Source organism: Homo sapiens, chromosome 11 (assembly GCF_000001405.40).
Source record: "Homo sapiens chromosome 11, GRCh38.p14 Primary Assembly".
Lineage (NCBI taxonomy): Eukaryota > Metazoa > Chordata > Mammalia > Primates > Hominidae > Homo > Homo sapiens.
The window spans coordinates 130843275-130862789 of NC_000011.10; the positions used below are offsets into that span (position 1 = coordinate 130843275).

The 19515-nt window shown below is 43.0% G+C and overlaps 1 long non-coding RNA gene across 1 annotated transcript, besides 2 other annotated features; it reads right to left on the reverse strand.

Moving 5' to 3' along the window:
• Positions 1–918: 918 nt before the first annotated feature.
• On the reverse strand, positions 919–18836 carry LINC02551 (long intergenic non-protein coding RNA 2551). The gene is made up of 6 exons (NR_125383.1): positions 18692–18836; positions 18502–18554; positions 11453–11618; positions 3589–3768; positions 2853–2917; positions 919–1762 (listed from the first exon to the last, which is right to left on the reverse strand). It is a non-coding gene; the product is annotated as a long intergenic non-protein coding RNA 2551 (long non-coding RNA).
• Positions 18197–18697: an enhancer, noted in NCBI's record as "H3K4me1 hESC enhancer chr11:130731366-130731866 (GRCh37/hg19 assembly coordinates)". NCBI's record gives its function as "activates a minimal SCP1, AML or CMV promoter by ChIP-STARR-seq in naive H9 embryonic stem cells {active_cell/tissue: H9 hESC(naive)}" and the evidence as "EXISTENCE:reporter gene assay evidence [ECO:0000049][PMID:30033119]".
• Positions 18698–19198: an enhancer, noted in NCBI's record as "H3K4me1 hESC enhancer chr11:130731867-130732367 (GRCh37/hg19 assembly coordinates)". NCBI's record gives its function as "activates a minimal SCP1, AML or CMV promoter by ChIP-STARR-seq in naive H9 embryonic stem cells {active_cell/tissue: H9 hESC(naive)}" and the evidence as "EXISTENCE:reporter gene assay evidence [ECO:0000049][PMID:30033119]".

Consider the following 19515-nt stretch of genomic DNA (forward strand, 5'->3'; position numbering starts at 1 on the left):
CCAGAGAAGCTGGTGGTATGATTCAATCTGAGTTCAAAGGTCAGAGAACCCTGGTGGGGGATGAAAAGAGGAGGTGCTGATACAATTCCTAGAGTTCAAAGGCTCAAGAACTTGGAGTTCTGATATTCAAGGGCAGAGAAGATGGATGTACCAGCCCCCAAAGAGAGGGAAAATTCACCCTTCCTCTACCATTTTGTTGTCCTCAGTGGACTGGATGATACCTACCCAACACTGGTAAAGGCAGATTTTCTTTATTTAGCCTATTGACTCAAATGCTAATCTCTTCCAGAGACACCCTCACAGACATATTTAGAAATAATGTTTCACCAGCTATCTGGGCATCCCTTAGCTCAGTCAGGTTGACAAGTAAATTAACAAACACATTGTTATTATTTTTACGGTTGAAACCAAACTGAAAACTTTGTTTTTTGCTGTTTAGCAAATAAATTCTATTTGTTTTTTAAAAACAAACAACCAAAAAGCACCTAACCTGAGAAGTCAGCACAGCTTTCAGATCCTCACCCCTAGAAAGCTCTTGTCCTGGCTGCTCCCTCCTCCTTGCTCTGTGAGAAATTCCTTATGCAGCTACGTGCAGGAACTGACTGCGCGGGATGATCCGTGAGCTGCATGTGGACTACCCCAATCTGCTTTTTGTTCCTAATTCCTGAATGAGCAACTGAAAATTCCCCATGTGATCACTCCCTCTACCAGCTCTTGCTTTCCCAGAAACACTAGGCTTGCTGTTTTGTACATTTGCAGGATAAAAGAAATGTAAACATTTAAATAATAATGTATTTTTAAAGGCATAACGGGGTTAGTTAAGTAAAACAACCCATCTCACATCATCTGCAGAAGAAATCTAATAAGTTTTGGGGTTCATTGGGGAACCAGAGAATATTCAATTTTATGACAGGATTAAGTTTTTATTGAATTACGTCTTTATTCAAGGCACTTTTGTTCATCTACTAAAATAGGCAGTTTAACTCAGTGATCTTTGGACTAGTAAAATGAAAATCATGATAAGAATCTTTTCATAAATCAGTTCTTTCTTTCTTTTTTTTTCTTTTTCTTTTTTTTTTTCTTGAGACAGAGTCTTGCTCTGTCAACCAGGCTGGAGTGCAGTGGCGCAATCTCGGCTCACTGCAACCTTCCCCTCCTAGGTTCAAGCAATTCTCCTGCCTCAGCCTTCTGAGTGGCTGGGATTACAGGTGCGCACCACCACACCCAGCTAATTTTTGTATTTTTTTAGTAGAGATGGGGTTTCACCATGTTGGTCAGGCTGGTCTTGAACTCCTGACCTTGTGATCTGCCCACCTCGGCCTCCCAAAGTGCTGGGACTACAGGCGCCTGCCACCACACCCAGCTATTTTTTTTTTTTATTTTTGTATTTTTAGTAGAGATGGGGTTTCACCGTGTTAGCCAGGATGGTCTCGATCTCCTGACTGAGATCCGCCCACCTCAGCTTCCCAAAGTGTTGGGATTATAGGCGTGAGCCACCGCGCCTGGTCTATGAATCAGTTCTTTCAATAAAGACTCCGCTGGGGCTGAGGGCTGCCAGATATTGGGTGTCCCTGAAGATGAAGCCAGTTGTGTCTATTGGCCTCTTCTCCAAATAGCCAAAGCAAGTGTGCTCAGTGCCCTGGAGTGGCCCAAGAGCAGGGGAATGAATAGTAAAAAATGTCTCAGGAAAACTCAGTTCTAGTTATGGTTTTTCCATTAATAGTTGAGGCTCCCAAGCTTCTCTGGGCTTCAATTTTATCATCTGTAAAAATAAAGGCATACGACTATTGGTGATTTCAAAATACCGATCTCATGTCAAGCTAGTGACTTAAAACCCCTCCAGGAGAGGTTGTTAAAGGTACACATTTCTTAGCATAAATCTGGAAACAACCGAAGTGCCCATGAGTAGGGGAGTGGTTAAATAAGTTATGGTATATCCAACCATAAATGCCCTTTGAAAAGTGTGAATTAGATCTGCATGTGCTGATACAGAAAGATCTCTAAGGAATATCATCAATTGAAAAGAGTAAAGTACAGAGCAACATATATGGCAAAATTCCTCTTGTGTAATTGAAAATGCATATATGTGTGTGTGTGTAACTGAAAATGCATATATATTTATATATAAATGCACATATATATATGGCACAAACTTGCTTTCAGTTATTGTTTATGTGGGGGTATACATGAAACTGTTAAGAGTGTTTATCTTAATAGTTTAACAGCTGTATGGGCAGGGTAATATTTAAGGTATTGCTAATAACAATAGTAATGTTAATAGTTAAGGGCTGATTCACCCCACCTATTTCTGATGTCTTCTTTTTTTGTACCCGTCAACATTTATCTACCAATGTGTTAGAACAAGAAGGGGACTTGGTACTGTGGGGAGAATACTGAATGGGCTGTAAGTGGATCCGAGTTTAAATCATATTCTTGTTGAATATTCTTGTGCAAGTAACTTAACTTCCCTGGATCTCAATGTCCTCGTCTTTTAAATGCGGTGATAGGACTAGCAATAAAACACGGTGGTTCTATTTTAATTTGCAGGTAGTGTTTATAAGTTATCTGGGGAGACACACAGGAACACACACACACACACATACATACACACACACACTCAAATACAGAACAAATGAGTAAAGAGCATTGCTAACTCTCAACAAATACTTTAAGTTCTTTCTTAACACTATGGGCTACAGAGGAGAAATAACCTTTATCCTTGAAGAATTTTATGATCTTGTATGGGAGACAAAACAAATTTGTGTGAACCAACTAGAGAATAATATAAAGCCACATATGACAACCTTGGATTAACCTCATTCTTATGGAGCTCCCTTTAAAATATTACTCACCTGAAACTCAAGAAAACCAGACTCGGCAATAAATGTAAAACCCAAGTCCCTCGGCCACATTTGCACTGAAATGTAAAATAAAGGGTTAGACAGGTACAATTTCCTTTGTAGTGATAAAATCCTCTGATTCTATTGCATAATCTCCAAAAGCAGGTCCAAACCGAATAATTTTTTTCCCCTGAAACTAGATTCCTCCCTGTTTAGTAGAGTCCCCATTTCCAATTTAGGACTTTGCCAACCCCATACAACTTCTTTGCACAAAATACCCCAAGATAAGGTCAAGGAGAAGGCCTTACATTATGTCAGCCCCATTATCTGAGCTTGAGAGCCTCCCTTGGCTCCGCCCTGTCTGGGCAATGCAGTGGGAGAGGGGACTGGGCTGGGGGTGGCCAGGTGGCTGTCTAGCCTGCCTGGTCACAAAGACCCCAGTGAGTGTGAGATGAGCACATGACAGGGGCTCCGGGCAGGTCAGACTTGACGCCTCACTTGACCCCACTGACAGCCAGAGTTTGATAAAGACATGATTGAGTTGAGGATTTCTTTCTGACAGTTTAATGGATGGCTATAATTAGGGGCCTGCTCTGAGGGTGTGGAAACACATAGACCCCATTGTAGGGAGGCTAAATGCTACAAAGGTCAAGGCCAAAATATGGTATGAAAGAAGCTCAACGTTTTCCAACACACAGGAGAAGTGAGTCAGTAGTGAAACGTGTTTACTAAGCATGATCAAGCATACCCATTTCTTTTCAGTTCCTGAGCCTGATGGTTGTCATCAGTGGTGGGTCTCTGAAGCAGAGTTTCAGTCCTTGTGGCTCCAGAGACTAGCACTCTAAAGGTGGAGTTGACAGGATAAACTTCCCACCTGATCTCAGAAAGCAACTGACTTTCTTTTCTTCTCCTGGAACCATCTCCCTGACTGAAAATAAGAATGACAACAATAACTGAGACATACACATTGAATTTTAATGTTAAATTTAAACAATATTTGTCAGTTTGTTTATGCTTCATTGTCAAAATAATGATTAATGAAAGTGGCTTTAAGCCCTAGATACTTTCTGGGATGTTTTAAAAGACTTCTTCTTGGAATAAAGGAGCCATGATGTGCCAGCCATAATAAGATCCAACTAACAACGAACAAAAAAAATACAGTGAGTAATGGCAATAATGTTCTCATTAAAGGAAAATACCTCACAACTTAGACAGAAACAGAGGGAATTAGTGAAACTCCATCCATTGAGGGCTCATAGGCTGCCCTTGGAAATACTCTTACCTGGTCACAGTACTAGTGAATTCATTTCCTGGTTAAGTTGGTAAGGTAGGCATCTTGAAAGACATTCATTAATCAAAGAATCAGATAATCCCAGGGCTGAAAAGGATTTTGGAGGCCCTAGAGTGCCAAAAGGCTGACCCACCTCTGCCGTATGGATTCTGATGAACAGAAGCTCTGACTCCTTTACACTGCCTATCCCAATCTGGGTAGCTATGAGTATTAACAAACTTGTCCCGATACAGTAGTCTCCCTTATCTGCAGTTTCACTTTCTACAGTTTTAGTTACCTGTGCTTAACCGCAGTCCAGAAATAGTAAATGGCAAATCTCAGAAATACACGTAAGTTTTAAATTGCATGCCCTTCTGAATGGCATGATAAAAATCTCATGCAGTCCTACTCCATCTCACCCAGGACGTGAATCATCCCGTTGTCTGGCATGTCCATGCTGTCTGCGCTACTCACCCATGAGTCACATAGGAGCCGTCTTGGTTATTAGATTGACTGTCATTTGTTTTGCAGTGCTTGTGTTCAAGTGACCCTTATTTTACTGAACAGTGGCTCCAAAGAACAAAAGTAGTGATGCTGGCCATTTGAACATGCCTAGGAGAAGCTGGGAAGTGCTTTCGTTAAGTGAAAAGGTGAGAGCTCTTGACTTAATAACGAAAGAATAAAAATTGCAATATTAAAGTTGCTGAGATCTACAGTGAGAATGAATTTTTTTACCTGTGAAATTGTGAAGAAGAAAAAAATTCATATAGTTTTGCTGTTGCACCCCAAACTTTATCATAGATATGTATGTATAGGAAAAAAACATAGTTGGGGTTGGTACTATCCTAGGTTTCAGGCATCCACTGGGTGTCTTGGAACATATTCCCTGTGAATAAGTGGGGACTACTGCATTGAGCTAAAATCTGTTTTTTTTTTTTGTTTGTTTGTTTTTTTAACCTCCCACTAATTGGTTCCATTCTACCAACTGGGGTCACATAGAACAAGGCTAAGTCCCTGTTACATATGTTACTAGGACTGGCTATGTAATTTGCAGGGCCCAGTGCAAAATGAGAATGTGGGGCCCATGTTAAAAATTACTAAGAATTTCAAGATGGTAACAGAGCATTAAGCCAAGGGTGGAACCCTTCTAACTGCAGAGCTCTGTGTGGCTTTACAGGTAAGCAACCCAGAAAGTTGGCGGCGTAGGGAACTTTCTGTTTTGTTTCTGAATGACTGGATTTGGTACAGTGTTAATAGAAGGAAACTATTTTTCCTCCACTTTGTGTTATAACTCTTTTTCAATTCCTTCTTCCTTCCTGCAGATCCCATGGAATATTCTGGTCTTTTGCATATATTAAAAGCCCAGTTCAATATTTTATTAAACTCCAAGCTGTCAATCACTACCTTTGCCCTGGCTGGGGCTGGGAAACTTGCAGAGACTTGCTTCTTTTCTTTGTTCTCCTGGCTGATCTACCTCCCACTCTTCATGTTGCTGTTGGCTCCTTCAGGGCTGGCCAGGGGTAGAAGGAGAAGGGCAGTGGATGGGAAAGGTCTTCCTTACTTGGTAGGCCCAGGTGTGATCCGGCGTTTAAGGGCTCTCTGAGCTGAGCACTCAAGTGCTCCTCTTTTCTTTCATGGGTACATCTCTGGGTTCTTCTAAGCTCCTCCTCTGGGGACTCTCAACTGCGGTTTTCTGGTGCAGGGATGCCTCCTTTGGCTAGAAGTTGATGACATTCGCCCAGCCCATGGCTGGTGGTTCACTGCAGTCTCCTTCTGCTGGGGTCATCCACCCTGCACTCCCTCCCTAATTCCAGTGGTCCTCTTGGATAGAGTTTTCAAACTGCCTCATGCTGGTCTCTTCCTCAGGATTCACATGTGGACCTTGAGAAACATGTGTTTTTGCGCTGCCGTTTGCATAGCTCCCTTCAGTCTGCCAGCACAGCTTCTACTCCCTGCCCACAGCCAGAAACTCCCTCCTTCAGATTTTCTTCCAAGTAAGTGTGACTCAGATACCAGTTCCAGAATCTGCCCCAATTCCAAGGAATATATGGCAAGCCTGTTAGAGGTTCTTTGAAACTCATCTCAGTTGGCCTGAGTAGTGGAGGATTAGGAGGGCATTTCAGCATACAACTTTCTTTACTTTTTTTTTTAGGCAGAATTTTGCTCTGTTGCCCAGGCTGGAGTGCAATGGTGCAATCATGGCTCACTGCAGCCTCAATCTTCTAGACTCAAGCAGTCTTCCCATCTCAGCCTTCCCATCTCAGGTCCTGAGTAGCTGGGACCAAAGGCATGTACCACCACACCTGGCTGATTTTTTTTTTTTTTTTTTTTTTTGGAGAGATGGGGTCTCGCTTTGTTGCCCAGGCTACAACTTTCTTCCTGAAGAAAGCTTACCATTTGTTGCTCCTCCTTAACGGATACTTAGTCTTTTCTTATATCATCTGGAGATGAGTGATAGACCAACGCAAGCAGAACAAATTATTGGTCTTGCCCCTTTCTCTAAATTTGAAGGTAGTTGGCACCTATTGTGGTTAGTGTTAGGGCTTTAGCAGACAGTGAGACAATAAAGAGAAGTCCCACTTGAACATCCTGTTATACAAGTAATGGACTAAGAAACATTTGAGGATAACTACAGCTATGGATTCAATGTTTGTGTCCCCCACAAATTCATGTGTTGAACTCCTAACTTCCAATGTGGCTATGTTTGGAGATAGGGCCTTTATGCAGGTAATTAAGGTTAAATTAGACTATAAGGGTAGGGACCTGATCTGGCAGAATTTGCATCCTTATTCTTAATTCCCTTTCTCTCTCATGTGCCCTTCTCTCTCCACCATGTGAGGACACAGTGAGAAGGAGGACATCTGTAAGTTAGGAAGAGGGTCCTCAACAGAACTAAATTGGCTGGCACCTGGATCTTGGACTTCCCAACCTTCAGAATCGTGAGAAAATAAATGTCTGTTGTTAAAGCCAGTCTGCTATGGCATTTTGTTAGTCAGCCTGAGCTGAGTAAGATGACTACTCTGCACTTCCGTGAGTGTTGCCTTTCTAAATGTGAGCACCTGCCATTCCTTTAATCCTCCGCAGCAGACCAAAATCTGTTTGCTCACCTCTCTGGACAGGCTCTAGTTTGTTACATATTGGAGTCACACTTTTCACAGGAATTGTTCTCCGTGGAGAACATTGAGCATAAGTGGAAATTGTGTTAAGCCACCTCACTCTTGAAAACCTGTTTGGTTGTTCTTAAAATGTAAATATAAAATATGAGATCAGTAGGATAAAGAAGGGTTGGATGCACAAACATATAACTAGGATTACTCTCTTGTAAACACAATTTAGATGGTTGTCTTTCTTTTTTGCTGAGGTTGCATGGTAGAATTTGGGTAACGTAAATGCACTTTTGACGTAATGTGACTGTACTCAACTTAAAGGATGGTGCCCAGATCTGAACATGCTATCCCAGGGTGGTCTCCTGAGCAAAAGGAAGAGGACTCTCAACCCCAGGACCCAGAAACTGTAGTTCTCTGAATGTTTCCTGAAAGTGCAGTGATGCTGGTAGCCTAAATCCATCCTGCTATCTCATTTGGTGTCTCACTTTCTCTATTTTATCCTTTCTGTATGCTTTTTAAATGCAGGCACGGAACTCATACTTACCTCTTTCTTTCAGATTCTGTCCTTTGATGTATTAAAATATATTAATCGCTCTTAAAGTATCTCCTCACATGATGCTTATTAATTGCAAAAAGAAAAACAGTTAACTTTACAGAGGGGAAACTTGACAGCCTTCCCCATAAGCAAATGACCGGTGTAAGGTACAGTGGCATCATGTGCCTCTGGATACTATGCACTGAGAAGGACATAACACCACTGTGAGTATTGCTAAAAAGGCACAACCTCCATCGAACCTTGAGAAAACACCAGACACACACCCAGATGGTGGAACATTCTATAAAATAAAAGTATATCAATGTCATTAAAGAGAAGAAAGACTGAGGACCTAGCTCACAGATTGGAGGAGATTAAGAAGACATACTGACTAAATGCAATGTGGATAAGAAAAAGGCCACTGGTGGGAAAATTGGTGAAATTCAAATAAGGTCTGTAGATTAGCTAAGAGTATTGTATAAATGATAATTTCCTGGTTTTAATAATTTTACTAAGGTTTTATAAGATGTCAATGTAAGAGAAAGCTAGGAAAGGTTTTTGCAATTTTTCTTTGAGTCTATCATCATTACTTTAAACTAGAAGTTTACAAATTGTATTTATTGGGTCCCTCCTCTGTGCCACTCTCTGTGCTGGGAGGAGAGCAGTAAACAAGACACAAGCTCTGCTTTCAGAGGCTCACAGTAGACTTTGCAGAAGGCCAAGCAGTCATGTACTACTTGTTATGATGGGTGTATGCATACAGTGCCAGAAAGAGCAAACAGCAGGGCTATTGGCTGGAGAAAACTGGAAGTGACATGGAAACTGAATCCCAAAGATGGAGTGGAGCTATCCAAATAAACAAATGGCTTATGGAAGAGAGATATGGGAAGCTGTTCAGGCACAGAGGCAAACTGTGCAAAGGCAGAGCCCGTTGGGGAACTGTAGGAATAGATCTGAGTGCTTCCTCAGTGTGCTGGAGGGCAGGAAGGGTGCGTTTGAAGTCTGTGAGCACGAAGGGGAGCAGGATGCAAGGGCCAGCCCAGGAAGGTCTCCTGAAGGCCTGCTAAAGAGCTGGAAGTGTGAAACTATTGAAGGATTCCAAACAGAGATTTGAAATGAGATTTATGATGTAGTGCATGCACTCTGGTCACCGAGTAGCTAATTGACTAGAGCCAGTAGTCAACGGCTAGTCTCTGATTCCAGTCAGAGTCAGTGTGGCCAGACGAGGCTATTGAGGTCATCCAGATGAGAGGACAGTGGCCTGAGTGGGTGTAGAAATCAGTAAACGCCTCAGTGTCTTTGTGAATCTCACCTCTTTCCTAAGAAGGGAAAAGGAATTAATGTGATTACCTACCATGAGCTGAGTTCTGCACTGGACACTTCACTCTCATCATTCCTTTATGTGCCTATCAAAGCCTGATGTTAGAGGGATAGTCATCTTCATTTTAATCATAGGTAATTGAGGCTCTATAAGGTTCAGTGGTTGACATCCACTCCCTGCATCACAGAGGGGTGAATGACAGAACTGAGATTCAAGTCCAGGTCTGCATGGCTCCAGAGCTCATCCTCTATTTACTGTAAAATTTCACATATAATCTAATATTATACCTGTCAGCCTCATGTCATTGGCCAGTTGTCATGTGTAAGGTTTACAACCGAGAGAAACTAGTCTCCAGTGGCTCCTATTTTAGGTCAGACAGACTGTAAGCACACACAGAGCAGGAATCCGTCCGCCTGGTCCAGCGCTGGGCCTGCGCAGTCCCCACGGCGAGTTCTCACCACAGCAGGCAGAGCTCTGCCCCATACCCTCCCTAGCCCCTCTGTACCCCAGGCTGCCAGGTGAATGGAGCTGTGAAAGTTTGCTCCACGCCCTTCACTTAGTGTTCCAGTTAGGGAATTATTGAATGGTCTTAAGCTATTTCTCATTCAGATTTGTGGCACACTTACTCTCTTTCACACTTAGCTGTGTTTCATGTTCAACTTACATCCAGGTTCAAACTATTTCACAAGATGGTTTTAGATTATAAACTAAAGAGACCAAAAAGGCAGGGACATTCAAAACAAATTAGGCCTCAAATTATACAATTTCATGACTAAGTCTGCAAATGTAATCTTGTGTTGCCTCTCCTCTCTGCTCGGGGCCACCGTGTTATCTTCCTGGTGTTTTCAAGTGAGGTTCTGGATATTTATTCTGAAGACCATTCTCTCTGACTTCTTATGTCTTACCTCCTTTTGCCCACAAAGAAACCTCTTTCCCTCTGATCATGTAATGTTCCCTCTCAGACTACATTGCTTTCCAGACCTTTTCATTGCCAGCACTTACAGAGGTCTGTCACACTCTCTCTTCATAAATGTGCCCAACATGGTTCCTACCCCTCCACCTTCCACCCACTTCTGGAAAGAAACACACTTCCCACAGAACACTTTAAGTCCAAGCTTAGGGAAGCCACTTAGCTCCCAGGAGCAGATGAGACCCAGTCCTCCTCCTAGCCCAATTGTAAGCAAAAAAATAATAGCAAAGTCTTTGCTCGGGGTCTTTTGGGACCAAACCACTTAAAAATAGAATACCCCAGAGAACATTTTAATCCTTGTAATTGAGGTATTTATCATCTGGAAATATAGCTGTTTCTATGTTGCCAGGTACCTGGGGCTATTTGAGCAAGACCTCAATGCTGGGGTGATTGCTATGAATGTTAAGCCAGTCACCTGGGTGAATAGCAAAATAAGATTTTAAACAATAGTCTTGGCAGGTCCTATGCAAGGGAGAAATTTGGCTTAACCCAAAATAATAGATTTTTAATGGTGGAAACTATGGGTAGCATATTAGCAGCAGGTGAAAAATTTTGTGTGGGAGGCTTCTGCCTTCCAAGCATTCCTGTTTGTCTGCCTGTGATCCAGACCTTCAGAATTTGTTATCACGTCCAGGTAGTTCAGTGCGGGTGGGAATATCTCAAGTAATGTTTAATATTTACTGGTGAATAATTTATGGTTTTCTCAAACTTCCTTTGCTCCTTTGTTTATTCATTCATATAATCAGCAAATGTTTATTTGGGTATCAAAGATTCAAATATGAGATTATTACTTTTAAAGAGTTTATACTGTATCAGAGAGAAAGACATTTTAGTGGGAAACAGTGTACAATCAGTAAGCGCTATTGTTGAGTTATGTAAAAGGCCCCGTGGAACACAGAGACAAGAACAAGTTCTGCTTGAGGATCATGGAACGTTCTGTGGAGGAGACTGAGTTTAAACTCGCAGCTGGACACCTTCACTAAGAGGTGAGGGGACAGGGGTGGCATGGGAGGAGGACATTTCAGGCAGGGGTAGGGTGACCTACCATCCTGGTTTGCTTGGGCCTGAGGGAGTTGCTGGGGATCCAAGACTTTCACCGCTAAAACCAAACAGTTCCCAAACAAACTCATGGTCAATCACCTTAGAGAGGGGGAAATGTATGCTAAGGATGAGAATGGTTTGGCCCTTCCCATTTCTACAATAATGATCTGTTCTACGTAGTCAATGTCTCTTTTCTCTTTAGATACTTTTTTCTTGCCTAGCAAAAGTTTTACTTATTATGGGTTATTTATAGTAAGAGCTTTAAGATCCACTTTCTATAACACGTCACACCTCATTTGCTCTCCTAAACCAATGCAATGCTTCAATGAGTCCTCAAGCAGAAATGAAGAACTGAGATCTGTTCTTACCTCTTTCTTTTAGCTACCCTTCTCTCTTTCCTGTGCGTCTTTCTTCTTTCTGCTGACTTCCTTCTCCTTCCCAGTCTCTGTCTCTTTCTTCGGCACCAAGTACCATCTCTGTTTCTGAGGAAGCAGCAGAGGAGCCTATGTGATCCAGAGAACTTGTTCTTGGCTTCTGGAAGCAGAGATGCAGGAATGGACCAATAAGGCATTAAACAAATTCATTTAGAATCTCAAGAAAGAAATATCTAACAGTATAATCATAATAACAAAATTTTGATTTCTTCAGAAGCACTCCAATAGCTTCACCCGCATTAGCTAATCTTGTGCAGTGAGGAGGTGCAATTCCCTCTAGTCTGGCGGATTCTGTTTGGTTACAGTATTTATAGTGGCTCCTTTTCAGAATCTGATTCTCTGCCCCTTTCTCCTAATGAATCTCCATGTTGGTAGAAATACATTTATACCTTCCCTCCTTTAAAAATGGAATATGACACTAGAGACAGACGGCATCCTAGTCCCAGTCTTCCAAGTTCACATATGTAACACATCTCTGTATTGTATATTCATATGCATTTTCCCATCTCTATACCTAACAACCACATGAACAAGTAGAACTTTGGGTGGACAAGGAATGGAACCACACAGAAGTTTAAAAGCTTAAAACAGAAGTGGGGGTCAGCTGAACAGCCTGCAGGTCCTTGAAAGTGGGGCTGTGAGTGCTGGGTCCATCAAGATGCCCTCAGCACAGTGCCCACCCAAAGGAAGAGCTCACTCTATATGTGTTGACTTCCTGATTGATGTGTATGCAGTGAGAAGGAATCAAACCAAAGACCAATAATTCTTTTTTTACATACTTTTTTAAAAAAATAATGCTTTAAGTTCTAGGGTACATGTGTACAATGTGCAGGTTTGTTACATATGTATACATGTGCCATACTGGTTTGCTGCACCCATTAACTCGTCATTTACATTAGGTGTTTCTCCTAATGCTATCCCTCCCCCAGCCCCTGACAGGCCCCAGTGTGTGATGTTCCCTGCCCTGTGCCCAAGTATTCTCATTGTTCAGTTCCCACCTATGAGTGAGAACATGTGGTGTTTGGTTTTCTGTCCTTGTGATAGTTTGCTCAGAATGATGGTTTCCAGCTTCATCCATGTCCCTACAAAGGACATAAACTCATCCTTTTTCGTGGCTGCATAGTATTCCATGGTGTATATGTGCCACATTTTCTTAATCCAGTCTATCATTAATGGACATTTGGGTTGGTTCCAAGTCTTTGCTATTGTGAATAGTGCCGCAATAAACATACATGTGCATATGTCTTTATACTAGCATGATTTATAATCCTTTGGATATATACCCAGTAATGGGATTGCTGGGTCAAATGGTATTTCTAGTTCTAGATCCTTGAGGAATCACCACACTGTCTTCCACAATGGTTGAACCAGTTTACACTCCCACCAATAGTGTAAAAATGTTCCTATTTCTCCACATCCTCTCCAGCACCTGTTGTTTCCTGACTTTTTAATGATCGCCATTCTGAGTGGTGTGAGATGGTATCATTGTGGTTTTGATTTGCATTTCTCTGATGACCAGTGATGATGAGCATTTTTTTCATGTCTCTGTTGGATGCATAAATGTCTTCTTTTGAGAAGTATCTGTTCATATCTTTTGCCCACTTTTTGATGGGGCTGTTTGGTTTTTTTCTTGTAAATTTGTTTATGTTCTTTGTAGATTCTGGATATTAGCCCTTTGTCAGATGGGCAGATTGCAGAAATTTTCTCTCATTCTGTAGGTTGGCTGTTCACTCTGATGGTAGTTTCTTTTGCTGTGCAGAAGCTCTTTAGTTTAGTTAGAACCCATTTGTCTATTTTGGCTTTTGTTGCCGTTGCTTTTGGTGTTTTAGTCATGAAGTCCTTGCCCATGCCTATGTCCTAAATGGTATTGCCTAGGTTTTCTTCTAGGGTTTTTATGGTTTTAGGTCTTACATTTAAGTCTTTAATCCATCTTGAATTAATTTTGTATAAGGTGTAAGGAAAGGATCCAGTTTCAGCTTTTTACATATGGCTAGCCAGTTTTCCCAGCACCATTTATTAAATAGGGAATCCTTTCCCCATTTCTTGTTTTTGTTAGGTTTGTCAAAGATCAGATGGTTGTAGATGTGTGGTGTTATTTCTTAGGCCTCTGTTCTGTTCCATTGGTCTACATCTCTGTTTTGGTACCAGTACCATGCTGTTTTGGTTACTGTAGCCTTGTAGTATAGTTTGAAGTCAGGTAGCACGATGCCTCCAGGTTTGTTATTTTTGCTTTGGATTGTCTTGACAATGTGGGCTCTTTTTTGGTTCCATATGAACTTTAAAGTAGTTTTTTCCAATTCTGTGAATTAACTCATTGTTAGCTTGATGGGGTAATCTATAAACTACCTTGGGCAGTATGGCCATTTTCACGATGTTGATTCTTCCTATCCATGAGCATGGAATGTTCTTCCACTTGTGTCCTCTTTTATTTCATTGAGCAGTGGTTTGTAGTTCTCCTTGAAGAGGTCCTTCACATCCCTTGTAAGTTGGATTCCTAGGTATTTTATTCTCTTCGTAGCAATTGCGAATGGGAGTTCACTCATGATTTGGCGCTCTGTCTGTTATTGGTGTATAAGAATGCTTGTGATTTTTGCACATTTATTTTGTATCCTGAGACTTTGCTGAAGTTGCTTATCAGCTTAAGGGGATTTTGGGCTGAGACGATGGGGTTTTCTAAATATAAATTCATGTCATCTGCAAACAGGGACAATTTGACTTCCTCTTTTCCTAATTGAATATGCTTTATTTCTTTCTCTTGCCTGATTGCCCTGGCCAGAACTTCCAACACTATGTTGAATAGGAGTGGTGAGAGATGGCATCCCTGTCTTGTGCCAGTTTTCAAAGGGAATGCTTCCAGTTTTTGCCCATTCAATATGATATTGGTTGTGGGTTTGTCATAAAGGGCTCTTATTATTTTGAGATACGTTCCATGAATACCTAGTTTATTGAGAGTTTTTAGCATGAAGGGCTGTTGAATTGTGTTGAAGGCCTTTTCTGCATCTATTGAGATAATCACGTAGTTTTTGTCTACCAAAGACCAAGGATTATAACTCTCCAACAAGCAAAAATACAAACAGGGAGAATGTTGTCTGTGGCACTTCCTCCCTTACACCACCAGCTTTTATAATTATTTCCCATGATCCCAGTGTCCTATTGACTCTTTTTAACCCCCAACAGCCCAAAGCTGTGGTGCCCAAACAAAGCTTCTGTTTTCCAGGAAACAGCTGATATTCCCATTGTCGTATTCCTTATTTTTATTCTGTAAGAGTGGGAGAGACAGTACAAGTAGGTAAAAGTTACAGGTTCTAGCATCAGACCTGTCCTCCACTCCTGGCTCTTGCTTACTACCTGTGTGACTTGGGCAAATCATTTTTTATCTCAGAGCCCTCTCCTTTATGTGTAGAACAATGACAGCACAGATTACCTCAAAAGATTGCTGTGCAGTTCAGCTGGGATAAGACTGGAGACATGGGGGTCTTCAGGGACTAAGGCTGAGTAAGCAGCCCCGTAACCACTTTTTTGAAGGTTACTGGTTGGTTGAGCCAAAAGGAAAAGAGAGCTCTGAAGGATGTCTCAGCACTTTTAAGTGGGTAGTAGGTTTGCTCATGTCTGATTGGCTAGAACTGGTCACATGGTATCATTCAACCAGGAAGAGTCTGGGAAGTACAATTCTCACAGGTGCCAGGAAGGCACAAAGCTGGGAATATTTGGCAATTAGTACAGCATGCAAAGTACCTAGCACTATGACTGGCATGTTTTTTGTGCCACTCCACGCCAGCTGTATTTTAGTTCAGATCTGTTATCTATAAAATGCTGTACATGTATTGTTTAATATATTCAAAAGTGTTAATTGCTGGTAATTGATATATTACGTCCTCCCTTTCAGAAGTTCCTACAGCTTAATAGAAATTCCTGGAGTGACTCAATTCTCAGCCAGTAACTCAGTTAGTGGAAAGATTTGGGAAGTTTTCTGAAGGAGGTAGAATTTGAACTGGATTTGGATGTTTCGGTAGCATCTCAGTAACAAGCTATCAGGTAGGACTTCCGACGCATGGCACAGAGTGCCTGAGTTCTTTGCTTTGCGCATGCAATTTATTTATTTATGATTTGCCCATTTGTTTATTCATTTAGTTATTCATCAAATGTTTACCAAATGTTTATATGTGCCAGGCACTGGAGATATTAGCGTGGAAGAAGGCAAAGATGTTTCTCTTTGTGAAGCGTGCATTTTAGTAGGAGAAGACACTCAACCAAAAAAAAGAGAGTAAATATAGTAATAGTATAGTAGGTGGTGATACGGTTATCAATGAATGAAGCAGAGTAGGGGGTAGACATGCAAGGGTTACAGAGAGTGGGAGGCTGTTGCTATTTTGTTGGGGGTGGTCAGAAAAGCAATAGAAGGGGCAGGCTCTGTGCAAATCTAAGAGAGGAGCATTCACAGAGTGACCAGCAAGGGCCATTGCTCTGAGGGGAGAGTCTTCTGGGCCTATATGGGGAAAGAGTGAAATGGTGGAAAGAACAGACACTAGGAGCTGGGTTATTATCAGGGTTTTAATCTTGGCTCCAGTGTTGATTTGCTGCTGTACTTGGAGCTGGCAATAAATAAAGTGGTTGCAAGGATCCATTGGGAGCTAGGCTGCCTGGGTTTGAATCCCAGCTCTGACCTTTACTAACTGGATAAGTGGGGTGAATTACTTCTCTCTCTAAGCTTCAACTCCTCCATCTGTACATGGGGGTGGGGATCCTCATACTTCATGCAATCTTTGGGAGAATTAAGTGAGTTAATCCACATAGAGCACGGAAACCAGGCCTTGACATGTTGTGAGCCCTCTCTGATGTTAGCTATTGCTATTAGAGCAAGTTATTTCCCCTTTTTGGGATTTCATACTGTTGTCCAGCGATTGTGAGCTTTGGAGGCATGGTCTCTTTAGCTTCTCTCAGGAAGTCTGAGGCTAATTTATATGTTATTCTGTGGACCATTTGCTTGTCATTTGTTCTCTCCTCAGGAATTGTGTTTTTTCACAGTCCTCTTGCTGGATTTAGCTTCTTTCCAGTGAAGTTGAGCATGGGATCTTTCATTTGTCTTTGCTAGACTTCCATTTCTCTCTGCCTCACTGGTGGGCTTTATTCCTTCCTGGAACTTTGCACACTACTTCAGTACATTTTGTTGATTAAAAACATTCTCTCTACAAACTTCAATACACTGGCAAAGGATCTCTGTAGCAGAAACTTTAAAACATGAAACTGCAGGCTGCTTTCTGTTTGGAGACCAAGCATCTGGGAAAGATGCCATTTGAACTAAGGGTGCACCAAGTCATAGACGCTCTTGGATGGCCCTTCCTGCAACATAGTCACAAATGCCAACAAGCATCTTACTGCTGTAGCCATGTGCTCTGGTTGCTAATCATATAAAGTAGTGCATTTGAGAACCCATCCTATCCTTGGTCTGAACATTTGTCTCCATCCAAAATTGACAGATTAAAATCCTCAACACCAAGGTGATGATACCAGGAGGCGGAGCCTTCGGAAGGTGACTTGGTCTTGAGGGTAGAGGCCACACGCATGGGATGAGTGCCCTCATAAGAGGGGCCTAAGGGAGCTTGTTTGTCCCTTCTGACATGTGAAGTTACAGTGAGAAGATAGGGTCTATGAGGAAACAGGCCATCATTTGACACTGAACCTTGCTCTCTGGACTGTGAGAAATGTGTTTTGTTTTGTTTTTTTTTGTCAGCTACCTGATATGGTATTCTGTTATGGCAGCTCAGACACAGTCCTGCGTCTTTAGAACTCAGGGTACACTGTGTGCTCCGTCAATGCTCATGACCATTTGGTACTCACGCTGGAGTGTGGGGGTTCGGAATGAACACTGAGACCAGCCATGCAGCATCTGTCCTCTCTTTCTGTGAAAAGTGCCATTCTGTATGTGACATGGACCCCTAGCTTTAGACCCTACAGATCACAGTGCAGTGTCTTTCACAGAGTGAGTGTGCTGGGTACTAGTGATACTAAGCTGGGTGATAAACCCTGCTAGAGAGGTGCGGCCTGCATGGAGTGGAGAGTGTGTGACAAGGTGAAGCAGCCCAGACAGAAGTGCCAGCACCACCATCCACTAATTGGGTGACCTCAGCCATGCACCCGAGCTCTGGGCCTCATCTTTCCCATCTATAACATGTGGGCATGTACCTTTGTTTTGGCAAATAAATGACAATATATGCTTTTAGAAACTGGTGGCTACTAATCTTATGTAAAGAATGTGTGTATTTATCTTGCCAAATAAATATATGGTTGCTCTTCAATTTCGGATCATGACAAGTCGATATCATAACGAATTTGTTGTATTTCTTGGTCAGGGAAGAAGGAGAGAGAAAAAAACCAGTGCCTAGTGATGACGCCAAGTCAAGGTAAAACCTGGCCAAGGGTGGACCTGGCTCCAGTGTCTCTTCCAGTTCTCCTTCACCCTGGGGATTACTCATTTATCTCTATGAATGCAGATTTATGGACCTATAAATGAATATATGTGTTAGGGCCACCATTGCTTGTTGTAACTCCACAAAGCATGTTGACCACAAAACCTATTGAGGGCCATAGGGGCCCAGCCTGCAACGCAGCCCATCTGCTCCCTGCATCCTCATCCACCGCCTTCCTTACCACCGCCCACCCACATGCCAGCACTGCCGCGCGGCCTCTGCTCCGGCCGTCCCTTGGCCTACACTGCCTTTTCCTAATCTTTCCCAAGTTGACTCCTAACACCTTTTAAGACTGCCTAGAATCACCGGGAAGGCTTCGCTGGCCCACCCCTGCCCGCCCAGCTTCCCCAGGCTGGGGGAAGTCCTTCTTCTGGGGGCTTCCGTGTGCACCTCTGTGCCTCCACGTCCCTCCTCACACGGTGACTTTCCGATGATGCGCCTGCCTCCCCTGTCCATGGATAATGAATTCACCCAGGACAGGGCTTTGTCTTTTTCATTCCTGAATCCGAAGCTTACCTGCTACTAGAGAATTTGTGAATTTCCGTTGAACACGTGGAAGACCTAGGAAGCTGTGGGGGAGAAAGAATGAATGACTTTCTTCAAGGCCTCCTGGCAAAGCAGCAGTGCAGCGGGAACCGGAGCCGGAGGACGCTGGCTCCTCACCTAGAGCCCTCCCTTGGGTCAGGGTGGCTCTTCTCTCCCATACCTAGCGTCCGGCGCTTGGCTTTGTTTCCCGGAGTGGGTGGCACTGTTTGGCCGCCACAGGCACAGCATCGCCCCTAGGCATCGCCCTCCGCACCCGGGGATGCGGCGTCCCCAGCCTTGCCTTTCTTGATGGCTAAAGCAACAGCGCCACCTTCCGGCCTCAAGGCCACCGGGCGTGGCCGGACTTGGGAGACCTTGGGCGCCCTCTTGTGGAATTTCAGAAGTTGGGCTGCGAAAATGACTCCGTTATCCCCAGCTGACCATGAGGCCCGCTGGGCACTTCCACCTCTGAGGTTTGAGTGGTTCAGTGGGCCTGTGCAGGGAAACCCAGCCTAGAAAGCAAGCCTTTATAGCTACCTTGGTGTAGAAGATCAGAGGCATATGAGGTGAGAAACAGGTGACATGTCACGCTCCCTGGAGACAAAATGTCCAGAAAGCTCCTCTAGGCAGCAAATAAAGAAGTTATGAAAAGGAACCGTGGAGAAAAAAGAGGTGAAGGGAAAAGAAAGGGAATGTTATTCTGACCCACATGCCTCACCGCCAGGGCTGAAGTCACTACTAACAAGGCCATTTAGGAAGAGCAGGCTGGAGTTGACAGCCTTTCCCCAGGAGTCCTCTGGTTTCCAGGTCCCCCGGTTTGAAGCACTCAGGAACACACTCAGCCCCTGAATCTTCACTCAGTTCCGTGGTGTTACTGGCAATCGTTGGATATCCCTGGCTGGGGCTCAGCCTCAGCTCCGGTGTCAGCTACATAAGAATCTCAGCATCTTGGGAACGTGAGCTCAACTTGAAATACACTTCCCTGAAAGGATTACTTTGTTTTGG